At 35.8% G+C, this 24,239-nt stretch overlaps 1 long non-coding RNA gene across 1 annotated transcript in view; it reads left to right on the top strand.

Moving 5' to 3' along the window:
* Positions 1-24,239, top strand: part of LOC105370345 (uncharacterized) — a 134,781-nt gene that overhangs the window by 73,810 nt on the left and 36,732 nt on the right. Inside the window, exon 6 of the long non-coding RNA XR_931698.2 lies at positions 5,505-5,558. This is a non-coding gene — a long non-coding RNA (uncharacterized LOC105370345). The remainder of the gene's footprint in view (positions 1-5,504; positions 5,559-24,239) is intronic.

Below are 24,239 nucleotides of genomic sequence, written 5' to 3'. Positions count from 1 at the left end.
TGAAAGTTTCCTCTTACAACTGATTTAGCTGTATTCTTCAAATTTTACCTTTCAAAATTTTATAGGGTTTATTTTTATTATTGTTCAATTTGAAATATTTCCTAATTTCCCTTGTCAGTTCCACTTTTACATACAGATTATTTAAAATTATGTTGCTTCCCAAATATTTGGGAATTTTTACAGATATATTATACTATTGTTTGTGATTTCTAATAGAATACCATTATAGTCAGAGAAAAATGTCATGTATTATTTCAATCCTTTTAAATTTATCACAACTTGCTTTGTGGTTGAGATGGTGATCTACCTGAGGGAATGTTTTATATGCATAGAACAGATAAAGTGTATTCTTCAATTGTTGAATATAATGTTCTATATGTGTCATTTAGACTAATATTGATATTGTTGAAGTCTTCTAGGTCCTTATTAATTTTTTTCTATTAGTTATATTAATTGCTGAAAAAGCATGTTTAATGTCTGTGATTGGAGTCTTTTCTGTAATTCTCCTTCAGTTTTTTAAATTGTTACATTTATGTAGTTTAAAGCTTTGTGATTATATTTATCCACATATTTAATTGGAAATTTTTGTTGTTTTAAAAATGTTTACCCTTTCTGGGGCTTTTTCTTCCTTCCAACCTGGTATTTTTCCTCTTCAGCCTGAAGAAGTTACCTCAGCATTTTTTATAGAACAGGTCTGCTCCAGACGATTCAGATTTTTCTGGTGAACATATAAAAATATACAGAAATGCTTTTAAGGCATTGTCTCAGGATATTTGCTATCATGTTTACAGTCTTTTATCTTCTACTATCTTTCAACTTTTTTTTTTTTTTTTTTTTTTTTTTTGAGATGGAGTCTCACTCTGTCGCCCAGGCTGGAGTGCAGTGGCGCGATCTCGGCTCACTGCAAGCTCCGCCTCCCGGGTTCATGCCATTCTCCTGCCTCAGCCTCCCGAGTAGCTAGGACTACAGGCGCCCGCCACCACTCCCGGCTAATTTTTTTTTTTTTTTTTTTTTGTATGTTTAGTGGAGACGGGGTTTCACAGTGTTAGCCACGATAGTCTCAATCTCCTGACCTTGTGATCTGCCCGCCTTGGCCTCCCAAAGTGCTGGGATTACAGGCGTGAGCCACTGCACCCGGCCATCTTTCAACAATTTAAAAACATTTTATGGTCTTCTAGTTTCATTCATCTTATGAGCACAATGCGTGTTTTTTATCTCCTCCAGCCTCTTTCAAGATTTTCTATTCATGTTTGGTTTTCATCACCGATTTGATGATCGTTTGCCTAGTTCTTGTTATATTTGAATGTATTTACTGTTTCTTATATATGTGAGTTGATATATTTCATCTAATTTAGAAAATTGTCACCCATGTTCTCTTCAAAAATGTCTTCTACCTCATTATCTGTCCTCTTTTTACAAGACCCTTAACGTAAATATATTTGATGGCATAATATTTTCTACACATCTCAGATGGCTCTCCTTTTCGTTTTTATTTTATTTTATTTTATTTTATTTTTGAGAGGAGTCTCACTCTGTCACCCAGACTGGAGTGCAGTGGTGCAATCTCGGCTCACTGAAACCTCTACCTCCTGGGTTCAAGTGATTCTGCTGCCTCAGCCTCCCGAGTAGCTGGGACTACAGGTGCCTGCCACCATGCCCAGCTAATTTTGTATTTTAATAGAGATGGGGTTTCACCATGTTGGTCAGGCTGGTCTCGAACTCCTGACCTCAGATGATACACCCACCTTGGCCTGCCAAAGTACTGGGATTACAGGCATGGCTCTCCTTTCCTTCTTCTCTTCTGTATTTTTCTCCTTCTTCCTCTCCATCTCTCCCTCCCTCCTTTTTTTTTTCTTATATTTCAATGTGGGTGATTTCTATTGATCTATCTTCTTGTTTACTGATTCTTTTCTTTGGTATGCCAGTTTACTAATAGACCTGTCCAATTAATTCCCCATCTCAATATTTTATTTTTTTTCCCTATTCTTGACATTTGGCTTTTTAGTTGTGTTTATTTCTCTGCTAAAATTCTTCATTTTTTTTCTGAAAAATTGTCTAAAAATAGTGTTAGATTATCTGACATATCTATTATATTTAATATAAAACTCCTCTCTGATAATTTCAACATCTATATTTGGAACTGCCTCTATTTCTCTTTCTTCCCTTGCCCATATGGCATAGTTATGTTTATACATCCTATAATGTATATATATATAGCTTCTTCATGTCTTGTAATTTTTTACGATCCCTTCCATTTAACAGGGCATGAGATCTAAGCAAGGGAGAGCCTCGGATTTCTCTTTGGGCTTTATAACCCAGCTGCTGACTCCCTGAGTCCGGGCTTCCAGTGAATTCTCTTTGCTGTCTGGTTGCTCACCCAGCCTTTTCACAACTCAGATTTCTACGCTTTGCTGCTCAGCTCTGAGCCTTTGAGGCTTGAGTGGACTCAGTGAAGTCCCCGGGAGCCTTGGAGGTGTTTCCCACTGCTGTCCTACTCTACCCAGCTTTCCGCAACAGCTTTTTGGCTTAGAGGGTTTTCTCATGGCTCTCCTGAGCTGCTCCCAGCCTCAAGTCAGCTATATAAGCCTCCATTTTTCAGATCCCCTACTGTGCCCCCAAACTTGGGTGCATTATGTCCATGTACTAAAGTAAAGGCCCCCTGGGACAGAGAGGTGGGTGGGTGCAGAGCTGCCTCTGATGGAGCTTCCTCAGGGACCTGAGTCATCACACTTCATAAGCTTTTTAAAATGTGTTGAAAATTGGACTTGTTTCTCACATCCCTTTGCTGGCAAATCCCTCCTCCTCTTCCCATCACTCCACCTAGCATCAGGGAAGCACTTCATTCCTCTCTCATAGGAAGAGATCATGACTTTCTAGATTTTCTTTCAGTTAGGCTTTTTTTGCATCTCCAGCTCTTCATTGGCTCTTATAAACTGTGTTTTGTTATTGTTGTTTTCAAGTTATCCATCTTGTTCTCATTTGTAGTTCTCTTATGGCTTTCTAATTCCTAACCAGAAGTGGAAACTGCTAGCTATTGTTTATAACATGGTCCATTTGCAGTTTATAGGGGTGGTATATGAATCAAGTGTGGAAAGGACCAGAAAAAAATTGTAATGGCAGATGTTATGTTGTCTTAAGCCTTGCTTTGCTTTTGCCACTGAGGCTGTGTTGTTTTTAATCTTACTGTGCATGGCACCTTCTCATCACACTAGTGTTTTGCCTTCCAGGGGTATCATCCATATAAATAAACTGCTGGAAGGCCAGGCGTGGTGGCTAACACCTGTAATCTCAGCATTTTGGGAGATGAGGCAGGTGGATCACTTGAGGTCAGGACTTCGAGATCAGCCTGGCCAACATGGTGAAACTCGTCTCTACTAAAAATACAAAAATGAGCCAGGTCTGGTGGCACACGCCTGTAGTCCCAGCTACTCAGAAGGCTGAGGCTGGAGAATCACTTGAACCTGGGAGGTGGAGGTTGCCGTCAGCCAACGTTGCTCCACTGCACTTCAGCCTGGGCAGCAGAGCAAAACTCCATCTCAAAAAATAAAAGTGAATAAAAAATAAAAATAAACTGCTGGAAGAAGTTTATGAGGTATCCTAAGACATGTACAAATACTAGTGTAAGACCCAACTGGGAATCTTTATGTCTTATTTCGTCCACAGCTCCCCACCCACACCATGGATTTAAGAAAGTCTTTTAAAACATTTGTAGATCAAGCTATCTGGTTCTAAAACATTTGTAGATCAAGCTATCTGGTTTTCAAGGAATTTATATTAAGATTGATTTTCAAATCCTGTGTGCTCTAGTCTAGGAGGATAATTATTTGTTAATGTAGATATTTCATAGAGACTTCAGGCAAACACATGAATGAGGAGCAAGGAAAGACCCAAAGAAAGCATGTAAGTAGATATCCTAAATCAAATTGTTATTTGACCAAAGAATTTGGTGATATGATAAAATCCAATTTCTAAATAATGAGTTTTTCTGTTAAAGCTCTCAATATGAATTAGGAAAGCCTTCAGCTACACGTAAAAGAAAATCTAACTCATAGAGTTTTAAACAAATGATGAGTCTTTTCTTTTTCCTTAAATCTCCTGGAATCCTGTTGACATTGGATTAGCAACAATGGTGTCAAGGACTGAAAGCTAGTGATTGCTTTTGCTTTAGACTTCATGCCTACATTCAAAACAAGAAGAGGGTAGGATACAGCGTCATTCATTCTGCATCATCAGGAAAGCAAAAAGCCTTCCTAGAAGCCTCTTGGCAGTCATATACTTAACACCTTTTTGGCAGAAACTGGGTCATGTGTCCGTGTCTAGGTGTGAGAGAGGGATGGAAGGTGGGAACATGGAGTTGTTAGGCCAATTGTATTTCATCTCTTGGGAATGGGGGGATTGATATTGGGTAGACAAAAATCAGTTGTTATCACTCTACCTAAGTGTTCCTCTGAAATATATTACTTGATTCTGGAACTTTATTTGAAAAGTTATTTGATATTCAATAGTTATAATGGTAATCCAATACAAAATATATATGTTGCCTTTAAAATGATAAATAGCAATTTAATATCTAGAGTAATCTCATCTACATTTGACAGTAATATTAACTATTCTATTCTCATAAATCTTGTATCATTTTTTTGTTAAATTGTCATTAATTTAAGTAAGGAAAAGTAGAGTTTATTTCCCAGTCACAAATAGAAGTAACCGATTGTTGTAAAATTATCAATGTTTCTTTCTTGAACCACTGCACCTTGAATTTTGATTAAAGAGTCGAAGTATTGTTAACATCCATGGAACTTAGAAAAAATACCAGTGCTAACCACATCACATCTAAAATATAAGCACATTTCAAATTTATGTGAATTTTAAATAATCTGTTTTCTTTGGCTTGTAGAAAAATTACCAAATAGCATATTGTATTAAGAATGAAATGTTCTGTAATCAAGATCAAATTACAATCTTATAATAATAACAGATAATTGTATACATGCAATATTAAAGTATATGAGCATATTCTTTAGACAAAATATCCAAAGACATCAATGTTTTCATTATTAAAGAGTTACTTTCCAGTTCACTGAATAAATGAAAATATTAAGAATTTGGTTATATTAAGAATAAACTCTAAGATGTTTCTTTTACTTCAGTATGAAAAGCATGCAAAAATGATAACTACATTTTGTTATGATGGTTTGAAAAATCTGGCATAATTTAAAAGCAACTTTCCATCTGGCTGGTGCAGTAAGCAAGTGGAATTAGAAGAGTTGGTCTCTGTTTCTTGATGTGAATGATTGTGATTAGTCTGATTTCTTTGGTTTGCTTTTATTACTGTTTTCACTTCTTTTCTTGGTATATGTGTGTGGATATGCATACAGGATGACATTTCTATCACATTATGGCTTAACAAATAAAACAGAAAATATGTTTACTTTGGATGTGTGTGTATTTTTGGAGACGGTATTTGTTGCCTACTCAACAGTGTTCTTTTTACTTCTTGGCAGCCTCCTTGGTATAACCACGCATTTACGGAAGATGACGTTACCAGCAGCCCTGGGGTAAGTCTCAGTCATCCGAAGCCAGTCTTGGTAATCCCAGCAGACTAGCAAGGGAACACAACCTAGTTCTGTCAAGTGGAAAGTGAAGAGAGCTGTGCTGGGAGGCTTCTCAGAAAAGGTTTCTTTTGGCAAAAGAAAGAGAGGGGGGAACAGTTCTTTTTCTTCTGCCGGACAAGGTCATGTGTGTACGTAAGAACTGGAAGTTCTCATGCCCACTGAGCATGGGGAGAGTCCTGTCTAGGGTGACCTGGTGAGAACAGACAACCCTTGAGCCACCTTACCCTAGGAACTCCTGGTGATAAGACAGAATACATTTTTTCTCACTGTTAAACTCTTTTTTATTATTTGTAGCTGGGTGCCTCCAAACCAATATAATTAGCCGTATGTAAATATTCTGAAATCTCTGTCAATTCAAATAACATTTAGGGTTTTTTTCCCAGTGATCAAAAATACAGCATCTCAAGCAATATTGTGTGTGTGTGTGTGTGTGTGTGTGTGTGTGTGATATTATTACATAATAATTGGAAGACTTTTGATGTAGATCCTAGTGGTGATCTTAAATGTTGAGTATTTGACTTTTTTTAGCATTTAATAATTGTCACAATAAATTTATATGGAGAGATATTTTAATTATAGAAACTCATTAGTTTGTCCATAATGTAAAAGAGTTAAATAATATAGTTCTGTTGATAATGATATTTTGTAATAGATATTTTTAAGCTGTTAGGCATGAAGGAAAATAATGTTGTAAGTAATCAGTTTTATATAGGGTTTATAGATATTTTTATTATTTGGTATTGTCATGTTGTTTCATGCCTCATAATAGCTGATTACAAATAGATTTTAATCAATCACTCTCTTTATTCCAAAGGTTTAAGCAGATAAAGAATACAGAGAATGCTTGTAAAGCATTTTCTACCAATATATTAGGACCATTTCTGGATAAGGTCCTTGACTTCTTCTTTTAATCGTTTCTAAAATAACATTTCCAAAAACCTCAAGCAAAACCACTTTAAAAAATCTGAATTCATATAATTTTACCTAATGTGGAAGATTGGGAGAGCAGTGACTTTAATATAATATTTTAATGTCAATGTGTGTACATCTGTAATTAATAAAATTAGTACAATTCACAACACATGGTCGTTCTTAAGCGACAGAGACATAGAAATGTAACAGCACATTAAAATCCTCTTCTAGTGGCCCCGAGCTGCACCCCATAAACTCTTTGATAGCTCTTAACAAATGCAAATTAATGAGCATTAACCCAGGCATTCGAAGGTCCAGATAAATCACCATGCTCTTCAGGAATTCATATGAACAATTCACAGTGCTATAATTTTTCCTAAGTTAAGACTAGACTAATGTTGAGAGAGACAGAAAGAGAAACAAAATATAGGTGCACTCTCCTCTGCTCATTATAGGGTTCTCTTCGACCTTGAGGAGACTGCTACTTGGGGACATGTACTGATTCATTTTCTGACTCCTTTTGTCCTTGATTTTGACATAGCCTTGGTGTTGGGAAATTCTTCCCTCAAAGCCTCAATCGCTCATGCTCAAATTTAAACACATTTCCTTTTCTGTAATCAGTGAGGGAAGAGCAGCTGGTCACCATCTTCTACACACTAAACCTTTGAGCCTTTTCTTCAGAATAAATGATCCTACTTCTTAGAATCATAAAATTAGAAGGGGTTTTGATGTCAGACCATCCTTTTTCTGCCTTTAGACAAGACTACCCTTCCCTCTTACCATCCCATACAGATGAGCAAAACCATCCTATTTTTAAAAGAGATCAAGAGAAACTAATCAAAAGCCTCCAACAGTCACACATTCCTCTGATGAGCAACCCTTACTTTCAGGAAATCATCATCATTATCATCAAATAGCATTTTCCTAACACCCACATGTGCAAAATATGTTTGTGTATTCAGATCCTAAAGAGGGCCCTAGAGGCCCAGAAAAGGTTGGAAAAAGAAAAAAAAAAAACGTGCAAAGGTACACAAGCATCACTAGGCTCTTTGCAAGAGAGTCTAGTTCATTGCAATAATAAATTATTTTTAAAAGACATTCCAGAAACTCCAGGGGATTTTCATTTTCTATTTAGGAAAGCGATCTTATAATTAAAGAATATATCCATTCATTTTCTTTTGTTTAACTATTAGGACTTAGTAATGACTATCAAACTCAAGTCTAATGACCAAAGATTGAGAACATAAATATGCAGTGTATTAAATCTGAAACAAATCCATACTAAGGTTTTAAAATTTGCAACACGTATAATACTGAACCAGTTGTCTCTGTTACAAAGTGTGTATGTATTGAGGGGAATTGTCTGGAAAAATGTTTAAAGCTCTCTTCTCTCCCATTCTGGCTCCTCCTTTATGCTCCTGGAGAACAGAGCTCAAAGGCTGCTCTCAAATGTTCAAAACTCCCCACCCATGGCTGGAATGGCTCTATGTCCTTCAGTTTCACCTTCCAGTCAAGGAATTCCCAATTTCTGAGTATTACTGATTTTTGCTAGGTTTTAACTAAATAAAGCAATTTAATTGAAGGTAAGCCTTCCCTTAATTTATAAATATTTGATAAAGGGAAAATTTGCCAGTCGAACATGCTGCTTGATGCGGTGGGGGGGATTTTGACCTGGGTGGCACTCCAGTCTGGACTTCACCTTACCTTTAATTGCTCTGCCAGGGGATGCAACACAGAGTAAGGTCCCACGTCATCCATTCACTCCTTCCTCTTTTTGGGTTTCTCAGCTCCTCTCCATTGCTCACCTTCACGAGAAGTTCCCTGTAACCGTGAAGGTTATCACAAGGCTCAGAGGGTAGGAGCTGACCCAGCACCTGCAGATCCTGAAGGGCCCCTAATCTAAATACACCATTCACCCCAACAGGTGGGAAACAATTTGATACACAGGCTCAAAAGTTTGTTTTGATTACTGTTGCTGTGAAGTTTTGATTTGGCCTCCTAAAGTAGAGGAGCCAATTTGATATTTCATTGCATAATTCCTGTACTATAGTAGTAGGTACTATCTAGCAAGACTTTACTGCAAACATAAAATATATTAATAGAACATACAATGGTATTGGCATACAGCTCTTTTTATTTTTTATCTTTTCTAATAGATATGTTTATTCTATTTCCTAAACGTATTCAAGACTTAAAATTTTCACTACCAATGAATAACATGCTTAAATATTTTAGGGAAATGGTAAAATGGTAAACAGCTCTATTAGTATTATTGAATATCTCATATTTGAAAGGAAAGAAAGTGACACTTGCTGCTTTCTCATACGCTATCACATTTAAACCTAATTACATTTCAAGACAAGAATATTTATCATCTTTTTTTCTGTTAAAGAAGTTGAGCCTCCTTTACGATAAACTGAACTCAAATGTAAGCATCTCTAATTCTGGAGTGCATATGTGCACAATTACATAAATAATTTGGTTTAAGAATCAACAAAACTAAATAAATGTTAGGTTTCTAGAATTTATCCAAACATCATGATGATTGACTATTTATTGCCGATTTTCCTATTGTAATATGCAGAAGTTTCAATTTTAAGATATAATCGTTATGTTCTCCTTATTTGATCTCGTATTTCCACAGAGCTACTCTGTCATTAAGTGTACCTAAATTCTTCTCCATAGCCTTTTAAGATTTTCCGATGTTTATCTGTTCTCTGTATCAGTCTCGATCACTGTCTTCACTCTAAAAGCTGCACTTAATAGCTTACTTACCGAATTAGTAATTTGGGAATTACCGTATAGTTACATGGAAATATTACTTCCCTCTGTGCCACAGACTGGGCTTTGATTACTTCGATTTCAATGTCCCAGCAGCATCCAGATTTTATGAATACCATTTCCGATGCTTTGCTTAAAGTTAGGGGCCAGGCCTGAGCTCAAGTCTCAAGGCTGATGTTGTTAATATCAGGACAGGCGGGTTCAAAAGCACAGGCGCCAGCTGCCCCACCTCCATGGCACAGCCGTCATGGAGCCAGCCACAGGTCTGTTTCAGATTGCAAAGGAGGGTCTCTGACTTCTGTTTGCTTTTGTGCTCTAGGAAGACATTGTAGGCCTCCATAAACAAAAATAAAATGAAATCGAATTACAACTTCTTTTTAACCTATTTAGGATGTAAAGGTTAAATATATATGTATCTATGAAGAAATGCATGTTAAAAAGTGGTTTGAAATAAGACATGCGGAAGCAAAATTCATTTTTCTTTGTATGGGTAAGTAGTATGTTTTTCTTTGTATGGGTAAGTAGTATGGCTAAGTAGTATGTTTTCTTTGTATGGGTAAGTAGTATGACAATATGCCATAATCATTGTCCTTATCTATTAACTAAACCTCAATGAGAAAGATAAATTATTACATTGCAGAGATATGAGACTTAAGACTTACTCAAAAAATTTTAAAGGCTATTCCTTAATGTAATACACTTCTATCAGGAATAGTACAGAATTTTATCTGAGATATTTGTATTAATCAATATTTTTGATTCATATGAATCATTATTTGGATCAGATTTTGATCCAAATAAATGTGAAGTATATTGAATAATTCAGAATTAATTAGTTTCCATTTAATCAGTTCAATCCTTCTGAGTTCATGATTAGGCAATTTGGAAAAGACTATATAAAATAATATTCTATTTGAACTATGGAAGTATTCAAAAGAAACTGGTAAGTTCATGAGTATAATTGTCCAAGTGAGCTCTGTAATCTATGAATATATAGGAAGTTCTTGTCTTTGAGAATACATGGTTTAAGTGAATTCTATTATCTATATTGTCATTTTGATTGTATTTCAATTTCGTTATGTGTAAACGGAAGCAATGGATGTACTCTTTGAAAACAGTTTCACAAATTAAGAACTTTAAACAAGCTTTTATCTTCTATTTAGGTCAATTTGTCTAAGTATTTGAGGTAATTTTCATCCTCATCTTTTTATTTGTTATCTTGTCCAATCCTATTAATGAGCATAAATGGCTCCCCAAGTGTAAATATTTGAAGGGAAAGATTGGGTCATTGTAAATTCAGGTAGCATCCATAGTTGATGACAGAATGACGGGAAGAAACTTTCCTCACTAAATGTCAATCAAATTCATCAGCATGATACTTTTACATGTCTGCACAGCTGGAAAAAACAGTCAATTCTGTTTCATTGTTATGTAAATTTATGCTGATACTCAATGTAATCAACAACCGATGCTAGAACCATCCTTGAAACAGATTAGATGATTGGATTCTTTTTAATATAATTCTGAAACTGGAACCCTAGGTTTTTCTTAGGCACTTCTTAAATATTTATGGTTATCCAGCATAAGTAACACAGAAATTCTGTGGTCAGCTAGTATAATCTTTTTCAAGCAGTGTATGCTATTCTTATACCCACACCAACAAAATTGTATCTAAAACATTGGTATCTAACCTAGGAAAAATCTCAGGTAAGGTTTTACGATTCAGTGCCTTAGTCCCCTTAAGTCATTTCGGCCACAGCCTTAAAACCCTCCTTTAAAGGGATTTACCATCACCTCTTGTAAAAACTGGATTTGAGCAAGATGCATTTTATTAATCAAATCCATAAGGCAGTCAATACATTACTTCTTTTGGAATGAAAAAGGAAAAGAGTTATTTCACAAGCAGATGAAGACTACATATGTAACTCTACTTCCCTCGGTAGGCTCCAATACAGGTTTAATCCTGAATTTTCCCATTTTGAAAGGCTTGCCAAGTCAGTTCTCAGACCTTTCGTGAAACATGTTGCTCAGAAGTGACATCAAACGTGATCCTAATTTTTGACAGATTCTTCTATACAATGACACATACCTGGCCTTCAAAATAGAGTAAACTAAAACTCACTGAAGAAGAACAAAAAGGTCACTCTTACCATTCTTGAGGATTTCGAAAATCAATGATCCTACAGAAGGAGAAGAGGCCATTTATCATTATAGCCTTTTTGATGTCAAAGAAGAAAAAGAAAAAGAAACAGAAAAACATGCCTTTAACATAGCAGCTGATATTAGTAGCTTTAGAATTTACAAAGCACTTTACTGTTCCGTTATTTCAATTAACACTCATAATGTTGTTGTTCAGCCAGTCTTAACATTTGTGTTATAATTATTTCCTTTGAAAGCTGAGGACAGGAGGGTCAAATAACTTGTATCATTTCCCAAAGTCTTGCAGCTGATAAGTGATGGTTCTAGGAGTCTATCTCCGAAAGATTGAGCATGAAATCTGTTTTTTTTTTCCATTCCATTGAAGTGTGTATTTACTAACTGGGTATATAATTATGAATTGAAGACTAACCTTTATTTAAATTAGTGCAATCAGACTATATCCAGAATATTTCTAGAAATGATTTTTAAGTGATTGATGAGTAAAATGAAGGGTAAAATATTTTTTGTTTGTTCACTTAAATGCAAACCCTCTGAGTTAAAATTTTCTCAATAATTATGTAGTTCAAACAATATTTTCCAAGATTATTTGAACTTAGATACAATTACTGAATTTAGGCATATATACATTAGGGTTTCTTAATCTTGGCATCATTGGCTTTTAAGTGGAATAATTATTTGTTTTAGGAAGCTGTCCTGTGCATTGTGGGATTTGGGGCATCCTGCCCTCTACTTACCAGATGCTAACAGTACTCCAGGTTGTGACATCCTCAAATATCTTTAGAAATTGCCAAATCATACTTAGGTGAGAATCAATGGTCTGTATTAATTTAACTGCAAAGACAAGTGCTGTTTCTAAATATTACACTGGACAATTCTAAAGGTTTACCATAAATTAGCAGAGGCATTAATCTTTTAATGATAGTATTGTAGTGGATATACTGGTACAGGACATAGCTATCTAAGCTAATTCTATATATACAGTAGACCAAAACTGACACATTCCAGGCATCCCTTCTAATCTTCCTTTGACTCCTCTTATCTAGAGTGAAAATTTTCTTAGCTTATTTTGCATCCTCCCAGCATATCTTCACTGGGAGAAAATTCGTCTCTCACATTTTTGCACATCTTGCAAGTCAGGCACTGACCACCTTTTTGTTCTGGATTCTCTTTTGAGGATGTTTATATAGCAAACATCCTTGGAAATGAAGAATCATTTCTGCCTGTGAAACAGTGTGCAAACATACTTACTCCCCATTATAGAACATTCAGGTTCCCTAAGTTCAGGTTCCTCTTCCCCTATAAATTCCTTTGCCCCTTGTAAATTATTGTTTTACATGATCCTCTTTGTGTTGCCATGTGGGAACAAAATGTTGATACTCTGGATACTGCTGTTACTAAACTTTTCTTGATCTCTGTCCCAGGAGTCTTCTCATTGCTTCCTACTAGAATTCATGTATCCATATTAGGATACATTTTTTGTTTTGCCAGAAAGGCAAAATCCCCAGTCCTTCTCATTACTATGTTTTTGTTGTTTGTTTGTTTGTTTGTTTTTATGCAGCCTCGGCGCTCTGTCACTCAGGTTGGAGTGCAATCTCAGCTCACTGCAACTTCTGCCTCCTGGATTCAAGCCATTCCTCTGCCTCAGCCTCCCAAGTAGCTGGGATTACAGGCGTGCACCACCACGCCAGGCTAATTTTTGTATTTTTAGTAGAGATGGGGTTTCACCATGTTAGACAGGCTGGTCTCGAACTGCTGACCTTGAAAATCTGTCCTTTGAAATGAATGACAAATTACATGCTATTTATGCCCCAAAATGCTAACTTCCACATATATCATTTTAGTATATCCTTATAGATTATCTCACATGAAATTTCTTTTTGCACCCATTGAAAGATTATTCCTGAGGATGTCATCCACTCTATCACTTATTGTTTCCTCTTTATATAAGCATATTGTCTTTTTAAAGGAAAGCTGATTTTTACCTAAACAACAGTTTCATTTCTTTATAGACATCACAAAAGTTGCGAGTTACTGCATTTGCATCCTGCCTATCTCTTTTAGGAAATGAAGGCTTCCTTTTTTAAGCCAACCTCTAGCAGCTGCATAATATCATTGATAGTAATGTTGGGTGTTAACCTTACCACTGATTTATTACTTTTCTACTTTTAAATAATTGGGTATCTGAGGAAATGGAAATAAGATATATATTAAATATAGGTGTGTGTATATATATAAATATATATTCAAGTATGTATAGTTTCATGCCAACCTCCATATTCTATATATAAATATATATTACATATTATATTATATATATGTATGCGCCAACATCTTAAAAAGTTTACATAGAAAGACATCTTGGAATAAATTGCTATTATTAGTGGAGTGGGGGGAAGAATCACATGAGCAATCTAGGTAGCAATATATCTACCCTACATGAAGAAGATCACATGATCTTTGGTGTTTCTCATTGAGTATCCGGGTTAGTAGATAACTTATTGACACAGGGATCCCAGAGATCCTCAGGGAGGAAAGTGATTGTGACCCCAACACAAAGCTTGGGAAAGTGATGGAATGGACTAGAGTGGCACTTGACAAACTATTCTGAGAGTAGCACTCCAGGAGCATTTGGAGAATTCACAAGGATGGTAACATTAATAACAAGGGTGGCTTGATACTAGTTTTCAACACAAGCTCTGGCCGTCCTAAGAAAAGGCTTTTTCTGGCCAAAAGTGTTGCTTACTCTGGAAATCCCTAAGCACTGGCCATTCTTGCATGAAGTCTTTCTTCGGGAAAACATGCGTAAATGATTGAATATAAATTCAAAGAATTTTAATTGTTGAGCCCAAGCATAGAGTGACTTCACTCTTCTCTGGGGACTGAAGTGGAAAGACCAAGTGTCCTTCAGGATGCGTGGACTCCATATTCCACAACATTGTGTGGCAGCATCAGAAGCCACTGCCCCAGTCGGTGAAAACCACCCTCTCCACCTTCTCCACTCTATCTTTCTATAAACAGGATGACTGATTCCCATACACTGAATTGACCCTGGAATTCATGGACATTGTGGTTTTTGTTTGTTTTTGTTCGGTTGGTTGTTTAGTTGATTGAGAGAAGTGAGGGGAAATGATAATATCAGATGGGGAGAATAAATTGATTAAAATTTCTTAAAAGGGGCCGGGTATGGTGGCTCACACCTGTAATCCCAGCACTTTGGGAGGCCGAGGTGGGTGGATCACCTGAGATCAGAAGTTCAAGACCAGCCTGGCTAACATAGTGAAACCCAGTCTCTACTAAAAATACAAAAAACTAGCAGGGCATGGTGGCGGGTGCCTGTAATCCCAGCTGCTTGGGAGGCTGAGGCAAGAGAATTGCTTGAACCTGGGAAGCAGAGGTTGCAGTGAGCTGAGGTCACGCCATTGCACTCCAGCCTGGGCAACAAGAGTGAAACTCCATCACACACACACACACACACACACACACACACAAAATTAATTAAAAGGTAATAAAAGAAGCACGATCATGCAGAGCGTTATGCTGGCTACTTTTACATTTTTACTTTTACATTACTCATCTATGTTTCATTACTTTATGTGAGTTTTTAGATCTACTTAGGCATTTGTAGGTCAGGTTTGTTTAATAGTTAAATTCATCTACAATCAATCTTACTTTATGCATATATGTATTTATAGATACTTAGAATGACATTAAAGATTTTGGTAGCTAAATCTGGCCAGTACAAAAAATATATATTATCTCTAGCCTAAAATGGAATGTTGTCATTTATGAGTTCATTGTTACCTGACTGTGGTATCTGACTAAAAAAAATTATCATAGTATAGATTGCTATTTTTTAGAATGAATTATTTTAAGGAAGCACTTCCATGGACCATAATCTCAGAGTTGGACAAGAGTTCTAAAACACAATGTAGAAAAATTGTCAATATTGTCAGTTATTAATGATTTCCAGTGATATAACACAACTAAATAAAGTAAAATAAAAAAATGATCCCATTTAACTGGTACTTCTAGGAAATTCAGGTAGGTGTCTGAGGTCACTGAAGAAACTGGGTCGGTTACCATATGGTGTAATCTAATCTCTTTCAATTCTGTAAGTCTGAAATATATGGTATTTTCAATGCTTTTTTTTTTGAGTATTACATTAAGTCAGGAAACAGTCTCTTGGCTTGACGTTTGAGAGGCAGTGCAAAAAGCCTTCTACTTTCAGTGCTATGGCATTGCTGATCACAATATATCTATGACATTCTGATACAAGATCTGAGAAATAAACAGAAAAAGGGTCAGTCATTTCAGAGAGGTGATTCCATTATAAAGGTGGGTATGTGTAGCATTTTCTTGAGAAACTTTTAAGTTTTTCTTTGATTTTTCTCTAAGTTTTAAGAGCCCTAAGCTGATAAATACTTAATGAATTTTCAGTAATAGTAGACAACTTCCATTAGTATTAAATAACCTTTGTGAATCAACTTGTATAAATCACAACACAAATAGTGAAAACAAAACAAAGCAACAAAAAACGCTAAACTAAACTACAAAGAAGTCTTGAGTGTTTGGATCTGACCCAAAGTGACCATTAAAGTTGTAAATTTTCTCATTAAATTGATAACAATGTAAGCCATTCTCTACATCAATTGAAATGCCAACGTACTTCTGAGTAATAACATCCCTTCCATGTGGTCTCTGATATTTTGATTCTAGCTTTTTACGAGCATGAGTATATTCTTTATTTTGAAGGCTGTGTTGATAGATGGCTCTGAATTGGAGGGCTACCAAAATCTAAAGGGATTCTTTGCTGCTTGTCATGGTTACAGTCCTTTTTCTCTTCAGTAGCTTTTGCTTATCTAAAATGATGAACTTTCTCAGTAGATGTGCAATTCAATCGAGTCATCTTTTCCCAGATACAGGAATGGTTATTAATATTCTGCCCTCTCAGTTCTCTATGATACCCTTTATGACCATTCAGACACAGGCATTCATACCTCACTGAGGACAGCAGGGACAGGATATGCTGCTGTGATAACAACTGAACCAATGACTTGGCTTCATGCTCTCTAAGAGCTGCCAACTCCAGTGCGCCCAATAACTTCCACCCCTTCACTACTTGGTCCAGTGGTCAGATGGTGGGTGGATGGGGCACTGCAAGGCACTGCTTTCTGCTGTTCTGCTCTAACTCCTGACCAGATTTCACAAACAGCGTGTGCTAGCTTTACCATCCACAAATGCAGAGAACTTTTGGGGGAATACTTTGCACAGCCCTCAACCAGTTCTTTCCTAAAATGTATGTGAAGTCACCAAACACATCGAAGGTTCTCAGTAGATTTTCTTCCTTCTGTCTTTCAGTTTGGTTACCTCGCCTCTTTGTTTTCATTGCTTTCAGATTCTTTATTTATAGAAGGGAAAGGGGAAAAGCTGTATACCACAGCCAAAATTTCAATTTTGAAAAAATTCCAATCTACAGAAAAGTTTCAAATTTATAGAAACAAAAGTATAATAAATACTAGTAAATACCTTTCAATTAAATTCACCAGTTACAAATTTTGCCACATTTGCTTTTTTCTCCCTCATTATCTCTATATCTATCCATCTATCTACCTGGCTACATCTCTGTGTCTGTCTTTGTGTCTGTATATTACACATACACACACAGATGTGTTACCTTTTCTATCCTTTTCTATGTTTACTCTAGAAATCATGACAATATAGATCATGTATAAGAAAATCAGTAATAAGTTAATATTATCCAATACATAGATTTACTTATACTGTAATTTGTGGTTTCACCGTAGTTTGCTTTGCTTTGTTTTGTTTCTGATCTCTATATTCTCTTTCATGGAAAGAGAATGTTTATCTGTGTGGTGACTTGGTTTATTTTGGTTTCCGTAACTGAATTTCTGAAGAATCCAGAGGAGTTATCATTAGAATGTTCTGCATTCTGAATTTGTCTCATTGTTTCCTTCTGTTTAGCAGCAAGTAAAACATTTCTTCTGTTAAGCAGCAAGTAAAACATAGCAAGAATACTATGTAGGTGATATTGTGCACTTAAAGCATTTGAACAGGAGGCACATAATTTTATGTTGCTCCATTACTGATGATGCTGGTTTAATGACTTGGTTATGATGGTGACTGCCAGGTGACTCCATTATGAAGGTGGGTATGTGTGTGTATATATATATGATGTAAGAGTGTGTATACATATATATATGTGTGTGTGTATATATGTGTGTATATATATGTGTGTGACACACGTATATTTATACAGTAAATATATACATATGTATATGTATCACACAACATTATATTTATACGGTAAATATATATATGTATATGATACATGATAAGTGAAGAATTGTGGCCTTGTGGCAATGTGAGCATCCTTCTTCCTAAAAATTTTCATCCAGTAGTTTTTATCATCTAATAATTGGTCCTTGGTAAAAACAGTTATTATTATGTATTGAAAAAAAGATGATATTTCTAATTTTGTCATATTCTTCTTATTTTTTAACTGGCATTCTTTGAAAATTACCTTTCTCTTTATATATATATATATTTTTTTTTCATGATTCTAAGTTATGTATTTAAGGTATTTTAAATATTTTAAGCATCTTGAAAAATTTAAAGTAGGACATGTTTTATAATTACTGTGATTTCTTATATAAACATCACATTTTGATAAAAATAAAGAGTATATTACATAAACTCATTAAAGTCTTAAATTTATACACTTATCTGTTTCCTTTCAAAGCAATTTTTGTTAAAGGTAGGAAGGAGTAAAATCCACTGTGCCTTGGGTTTTCATTTTCTATTCCAACTAAGAAGTGCTGTCCACAGAAATGTATCATTCAGCCACTCAGTCAAACTTTCCTGAGAACCTGCCTCCATCAAGGGACTTCGTTAGCTGTAAAGTGCTGACTAAACTTGTGTTTATACCTCCACTCATGAAATAGGAAATATACACACACATACACACATATGCATTCGTGTTTATACCTCCACTCATGAAATAGGAAATATCCACACACATACACACATAGGCATTCGTGTTTATACCTCCACTCATGAAATAGGAAATACAAACACACACACATACACACATACGCATTCGTATTTATACCTCCACTCATGAAATAGGAAATATCCACACACATACACACATATGCATTCGTGTTTATACCTCCACTCATGAAATAGGAAATACACACACACACACACATACACACATATGCATTTGTGTTATACCTCCACTGATGAAATAGGAAATATAGACACACACATACACACATACGCATTCGTGTTTATACATCCACTTATGAAGTAGGAAATACATACACACACACACATACACACATACGCATTCGTGTTTATATCTCCACTCATGAAATAGGAAATATACACACACACATACACACATACATTTGTGTTTTTACCTCCACTCATGAAATAGGAAATACACACACACACCCATTTGTGTTTATACCTCCACTAATGATATAGGAAATACACACACACACATACATATGCAACCATGTTTATACCTCCACTCATGAAATAGGAAATACACACACACACACATACATTTGTGTTTTTACCTCCACTCATGAAATAGAATATGTGCATATAATATATATTATGTAAATAAAATTATATATATTTATATAATATACAATTTTCTAATATGGGCTGCAGGCCAATATACATAGATTTCTCCTGGCTGCAGGTGACCATGTCACTTGCATTGATTATAATATATTTTAATTCATGGAATTTAAATAAAGTTTTAACATCAGAGACTTTCACAGAGATTCAGATAATTTGAGATAGTACATAATATGTTTAAAAAGCTAATTTTTTTCTGTGAATATTGCTTGTTTCCATAGACGTTTCATTCTACAAAGGTTCAAAATATAATTTTAACTAACAAACTATGAAGGTAATTGTACCCATTCTGCAGTCTGTTAGCAGCTTTTGATTAGATTCTCATAGCAGAATTTTCCCATATACAGTTGCTAATATAGAAGAAAAATATCATCTCCTTATTGGATTATATTGTTAACTTGCTTTTGCTTAATATTTTGGCATCTTTTGGTAAATTTCTGGAATGAATAACAATAATTTACGCAGAATAATCTAATAAAGGATATTTATAGCCTATGTGAAAATAAAGATACGCATTTTAGGGACTTTTGCAGAGATACAAACACTTGTTCTGTAAAATATTTGTTAAACGTAGCACATAGGGAAAGCACAGATCCTGGAGTGAAAAACCTACAGCTTGAATTCCACTCCAGCATTTATTAGACCAGTGACTTCCAGTGACTTGGTCAAGTTGCTTAGTTTCTCTGAACATCAATTTACTTGTCCATAAAGAGAGAGTGGTGGTACATAATAGATATTTTGACAGGCTGTTAAAAGCTAGAGATGAAGCGTGTCGGGAGTCTGATGCATAGTACTTCTATTAGGCAAGGTTTTTCAGAGGAAAAAGAACCAATAGGATGTGTATGTATACATATGTACACACACACACACACACACACACATATGAATGAGAGACATTTAATTTAAGGAACTGGGTCATGTGATCATGGGGCTGGCAAATCTGAAATATTCAGGACAGGCAGGCAGGTCTGAAGACAAGGGAGGTTTTAACACTGCGCTTCCAGTCCAAAGGCAGTCTGGAGGCAGAATTCCTTCTTCCTCAGGGAACCTCAGTCTTTTTCTCTTAAGGCTTTCAACTGATTAGATAAGTCACGCACATTATAAAGGACAACCTGCTTTAATGAGTCTACTGATTTCGATGTGGATCTCATCTGAAAAATACCTTCGCAGAAACACTTAGTCTGAGGTTTAACCACATTTCTGGGTGCTACAGATAAAATTAGCTATCACAGAACGTCTACACAGAAAGGTACTGACATTTGTTAAAACCATAGAATTCTATTTACATGACCAACCAGAATGTGTCTAGAGGGCTCCAGTGCCCCTGCAGATTTTCTATTTGTGCTGGCAGTTTCTTGGATAGTGTCTCCTATTGGCTGCTCTTACTTTCTGTCTTTCCATTGTTTCTTTGAGGTTTCATAGGAACAGTCCTGTTTTAGTTAAAAGTGCCGCTGGCTCCCAGGGTCCCAAAGCCAATGAGTAGATAATGAATGGCAAGCAATACCTGATCCCATACAGAAAATGGGAAAACCCTTCTCTCCCACACCTGTGCCTTAAGGTAGCACTGTTTATTTAACAGACTTGCAAAAATCTACCATGAAAACAGTGACTTCAACTTCTAATTTAGCTTTTCTCCCAATTCATGCTCAAACCAATTCCTCAAATTGAGAAGCAAGGACGAGAAATGCTTCATCAGTTACCTTCATTACAGTCGTATCTCTCGAGGTGCACTAAATTCCTTTGTCTTCAACTGATTCTCTCCTCTCCCAACAGGAGATCAATGTACAGAGGAATAGTTCCTTTAAATCCAGGAGTGCATGCAACTAAGCAACTTTAGAGATGAATGGTTGCATATTCCCCGGAGCCAATTCTAGTTGAGCTCAAATGATATATTCTTAAAAATAGTAATTCTATTTATTTTACAAGTGCTATGTAAACAGAGAGGTAAGTACCAGCATTATAATTCACTAAAAAGACCTGATTTTGCTGCACAAACATAACTAAATGGCTACACCCTTTAATTGCAGAATCCAGATTTCCTCCAAACTTTATCTCATTCCAGTCAGGAAAACAGCTATCGTCTTTTTTTTTTTCATCAAATGCTTTTATTATCATGTTTGAAGCTTTTGATTAAGTTGGCATCGTAAGAAACCCTTTCCTATTTTCTTTCATGTTTTTCTTGACAAGCCTGAGTCCGTCATTCTGGCTGGTATTACAGGTTCATGTTTTTGGGTACATTCATTTATCATGGAGTGAGTCACTTTGCTGTTTTTGTTTCCACTGTATTCTGAAAAGCACCCACAGAAACATGACAAGAATGCAGGCTTGCATGGAAGAAATTCTCATGCCGGGTCTGCTCTGTCTCCCCAGTCAGTCTATCCTGCATAACGTCGTCTTTAAACAATAGAAAGCAATGGCTAAGGATAAAAGAATGGGTTCAGATAAAACTGAATTTTCTACCACCCTGAATATTCACTCCATATTTAATCTGAAGCCAAATATTTTAACATAAATGTATCTTTATTGTCTTTGTCCTGGTCTTCCAATAGGGAAGTTTTTGTACGTGGTACCTCTTTGTTTTTTTGTTTGTTGGCTTCTACTATTTTCTTAATTTTAAATTCTAAGCCTCCAGGTGTCTTGCTTATAAAAACGATTCTGGATTTTCTACTTTTAAAATATGGTTTCTTAACCATTTGCAGTTTTGCTAAGAGGAAAGGAGAATCTATAAAGTATGTTTACATGAAAGGAAAATCTCTGTATAACATTCTATCAAAACTGTAATAAAGTGAAAATTAATTATTAATATTGATATGATTTGGCTGTTCCCTCCAAATCTCATGTTGAGATGTGATCCCCAGTGTTGGAGATGGAGTCTGCTGAGAGGTGTTCGGGTCATTGGGATGGATCCCTCATGGCTTGGTGCTGTCCTTCCCCACTCTCTCTTGCTCCTGCTCTGGCTGTATGACGTGCCTGCTCCCCTTTCGCCTTCTGCCATGAGCAAAAGCTCCCTGAAGCTTCCCGAGAAGCTGAGCAGATGCTGGTGCCATGCTTGTACAGTCTGCAGAACTGTGAGCCAATTAAACCTCTTTCCTTTATAAACTACTCAGTCTTAGGTACTGCTTGGTAGCAATGCAACAACAGCCTAATACAAGTATACATAATGGAAAGTGAGCCATGCCATTTGTTCCTTTGAATATATTTGGACAATTAAACCAACAATAAAAAAAAGAAATTATATGCAGTTTCTGACTCGGGTTCCTTGAACTTAAGTGGTAGCAGAAGATTCCCCTATCTGGAAGAGAGAAAGTCTTCCTAGGAAAATGCAGGAGCTGTTTCAAGTGTGTAATGGAGCAGCATTCTTCTGAAACACATTTTTGCTTGGAAGCCTAACATATAAATAAAAATATGAAGAGGGAGCTTTTCTATTTAAGGTGTGAGAAGAGGGTGTCGGGTGCCCGGTTCTACCTCGTTAAGCTCCTTTCAAATGCTGAGATGCCATCGACCCCTGATTCTGTCTCCCAGGAACTCAGACTCAAAACTCTTGCACCAGAAACAACTAGATGGAGAAAACTACCTGACAAAAGTCCTGGACGATGGCCTTGAAATCAATTCCTTCATGTCTTTAGAGGGTCTCTGTAGTTTTTCCATAGGTGCTTACCAGCCACATTCTTGGAGGCGAGCTGGCTAAAGTAAAATTCTGAACTGAACTGAGCTTGATAGAGTTCTGTGCTCATATTCCCAGCACAGTCTCCATGTTGGGAGGGAAAATTGCTTTTTCTCCCATTGCAGTAAAAAAAAAAAAAAAAAGTCAATGATCAAGTCTAGATTCCTTACAACTTCTGTTAGTTTCCTGCACTCCATGGATAATCAAATTCCTCGCAACAAAACAGATGAGCTGTCCCTCAAAATTGTTGACTTGTGCCTTATTAGGTTGGTAGAAGTGAGAATGTGGTATTTTAAATTCTCAAGACTGACTTCGTGTATCCATAGAGAATAATGTATTTTATCCTATTTTCTTAACTCTGTATGTATTTGAATAAGGGCGATTTAAAAGTTCTCTCACATCAGTAGAAATAACTGAGCTAGAGTTTGCTTGTTGACAATGTATAGGCACAATATATCATTAGAAGAGTGATAATGACTTTTATTTTGGTGAAATAATAAAAAAGGAATCATAAAAATAGAGCTGTCTAATAATGAACCATGTGTTTAAAAAAGAAAAGTTAACTTTCTCATCACTGGAAATAAGGAATGAGCCAGTGGCCATGGATCACAGATATAATTGTAAAGATTCCTATATTGAGTGGGAACGCAGACAAAATAACCCCCAAAGTCTTTGCTAAATCTATGGTCATATAAAAGAAATACAGCTGGATTGCCTATCAAAAAGATCCAGGGCAGTGGATACTAACTTTCTTTACTTGCAGCCAAAGTTTTGAAATCTTAGTAGAGCGTTTTGCTTTAAATTTAATTTATTAACCCTGATTACTGCAGTCATCAAATTAAACTCAAGCCTGTATTATGAAATATTATGAAATAAACACTTTAGAACTGTCATCTGTATTAAGCAGCTGTAAAAAAGCAGTGTCAAGCCTTGATGATTTCATATAAAATTGAAATAATTTTGAATATTCCTCATGGTGATTTGTATGTTTTGTTATGCAGACACAGAATAAAAACAAGTGAACCAAAAAAAAATGTTATTTAAAAATACTTAAGAAAAAAAACAATTTGGAAAAAAATCTCGATATCGGCACTAATTTAACTTTGTAAATTTTCCAATGTAGTTCATGTTCAGTATATTAGCATAATATTGATTGTATTAGAGGGGCTCAGTATTTCTTACGGACTTAAGTATGTTTAAGTAAGAGCATATCCATTTTGATTAATGAGGTCTATATACCTTCTCTCTTGATTACTCTCCAGTTTTGGGGAAATCACTTTGGTAGCTGCATTAGCTCTTTTAGGTCACCTGAAAACTTCTTAATAAACTAAGTGGTACACTAGTAAACAAAAAGAACTCACGCGGCTTCCCTTGAAACGAATACATCACTGGGAATTCTGAGAAACCAATTAAAACAGAATTATTGTTTTGAATGA

The sequence above is a fragment of the Homo sapiens genome, chromosome 13 (genome assembly GCF_000001405.40).
Source record: "Homo sapiens chromosome 13, GRCh38.p14 Primary Assembly".
Classification (NCBI taxonomy): Eukaryota; Metazoa; Chordata; class Mammalia; order Primates; family Hominidae; genus Homo; species Homo sapiens.
Note: the sequence above shows the minus strand (reverse complement) of the source record. Positions and strands in the feature narration are given on the sequence as shown.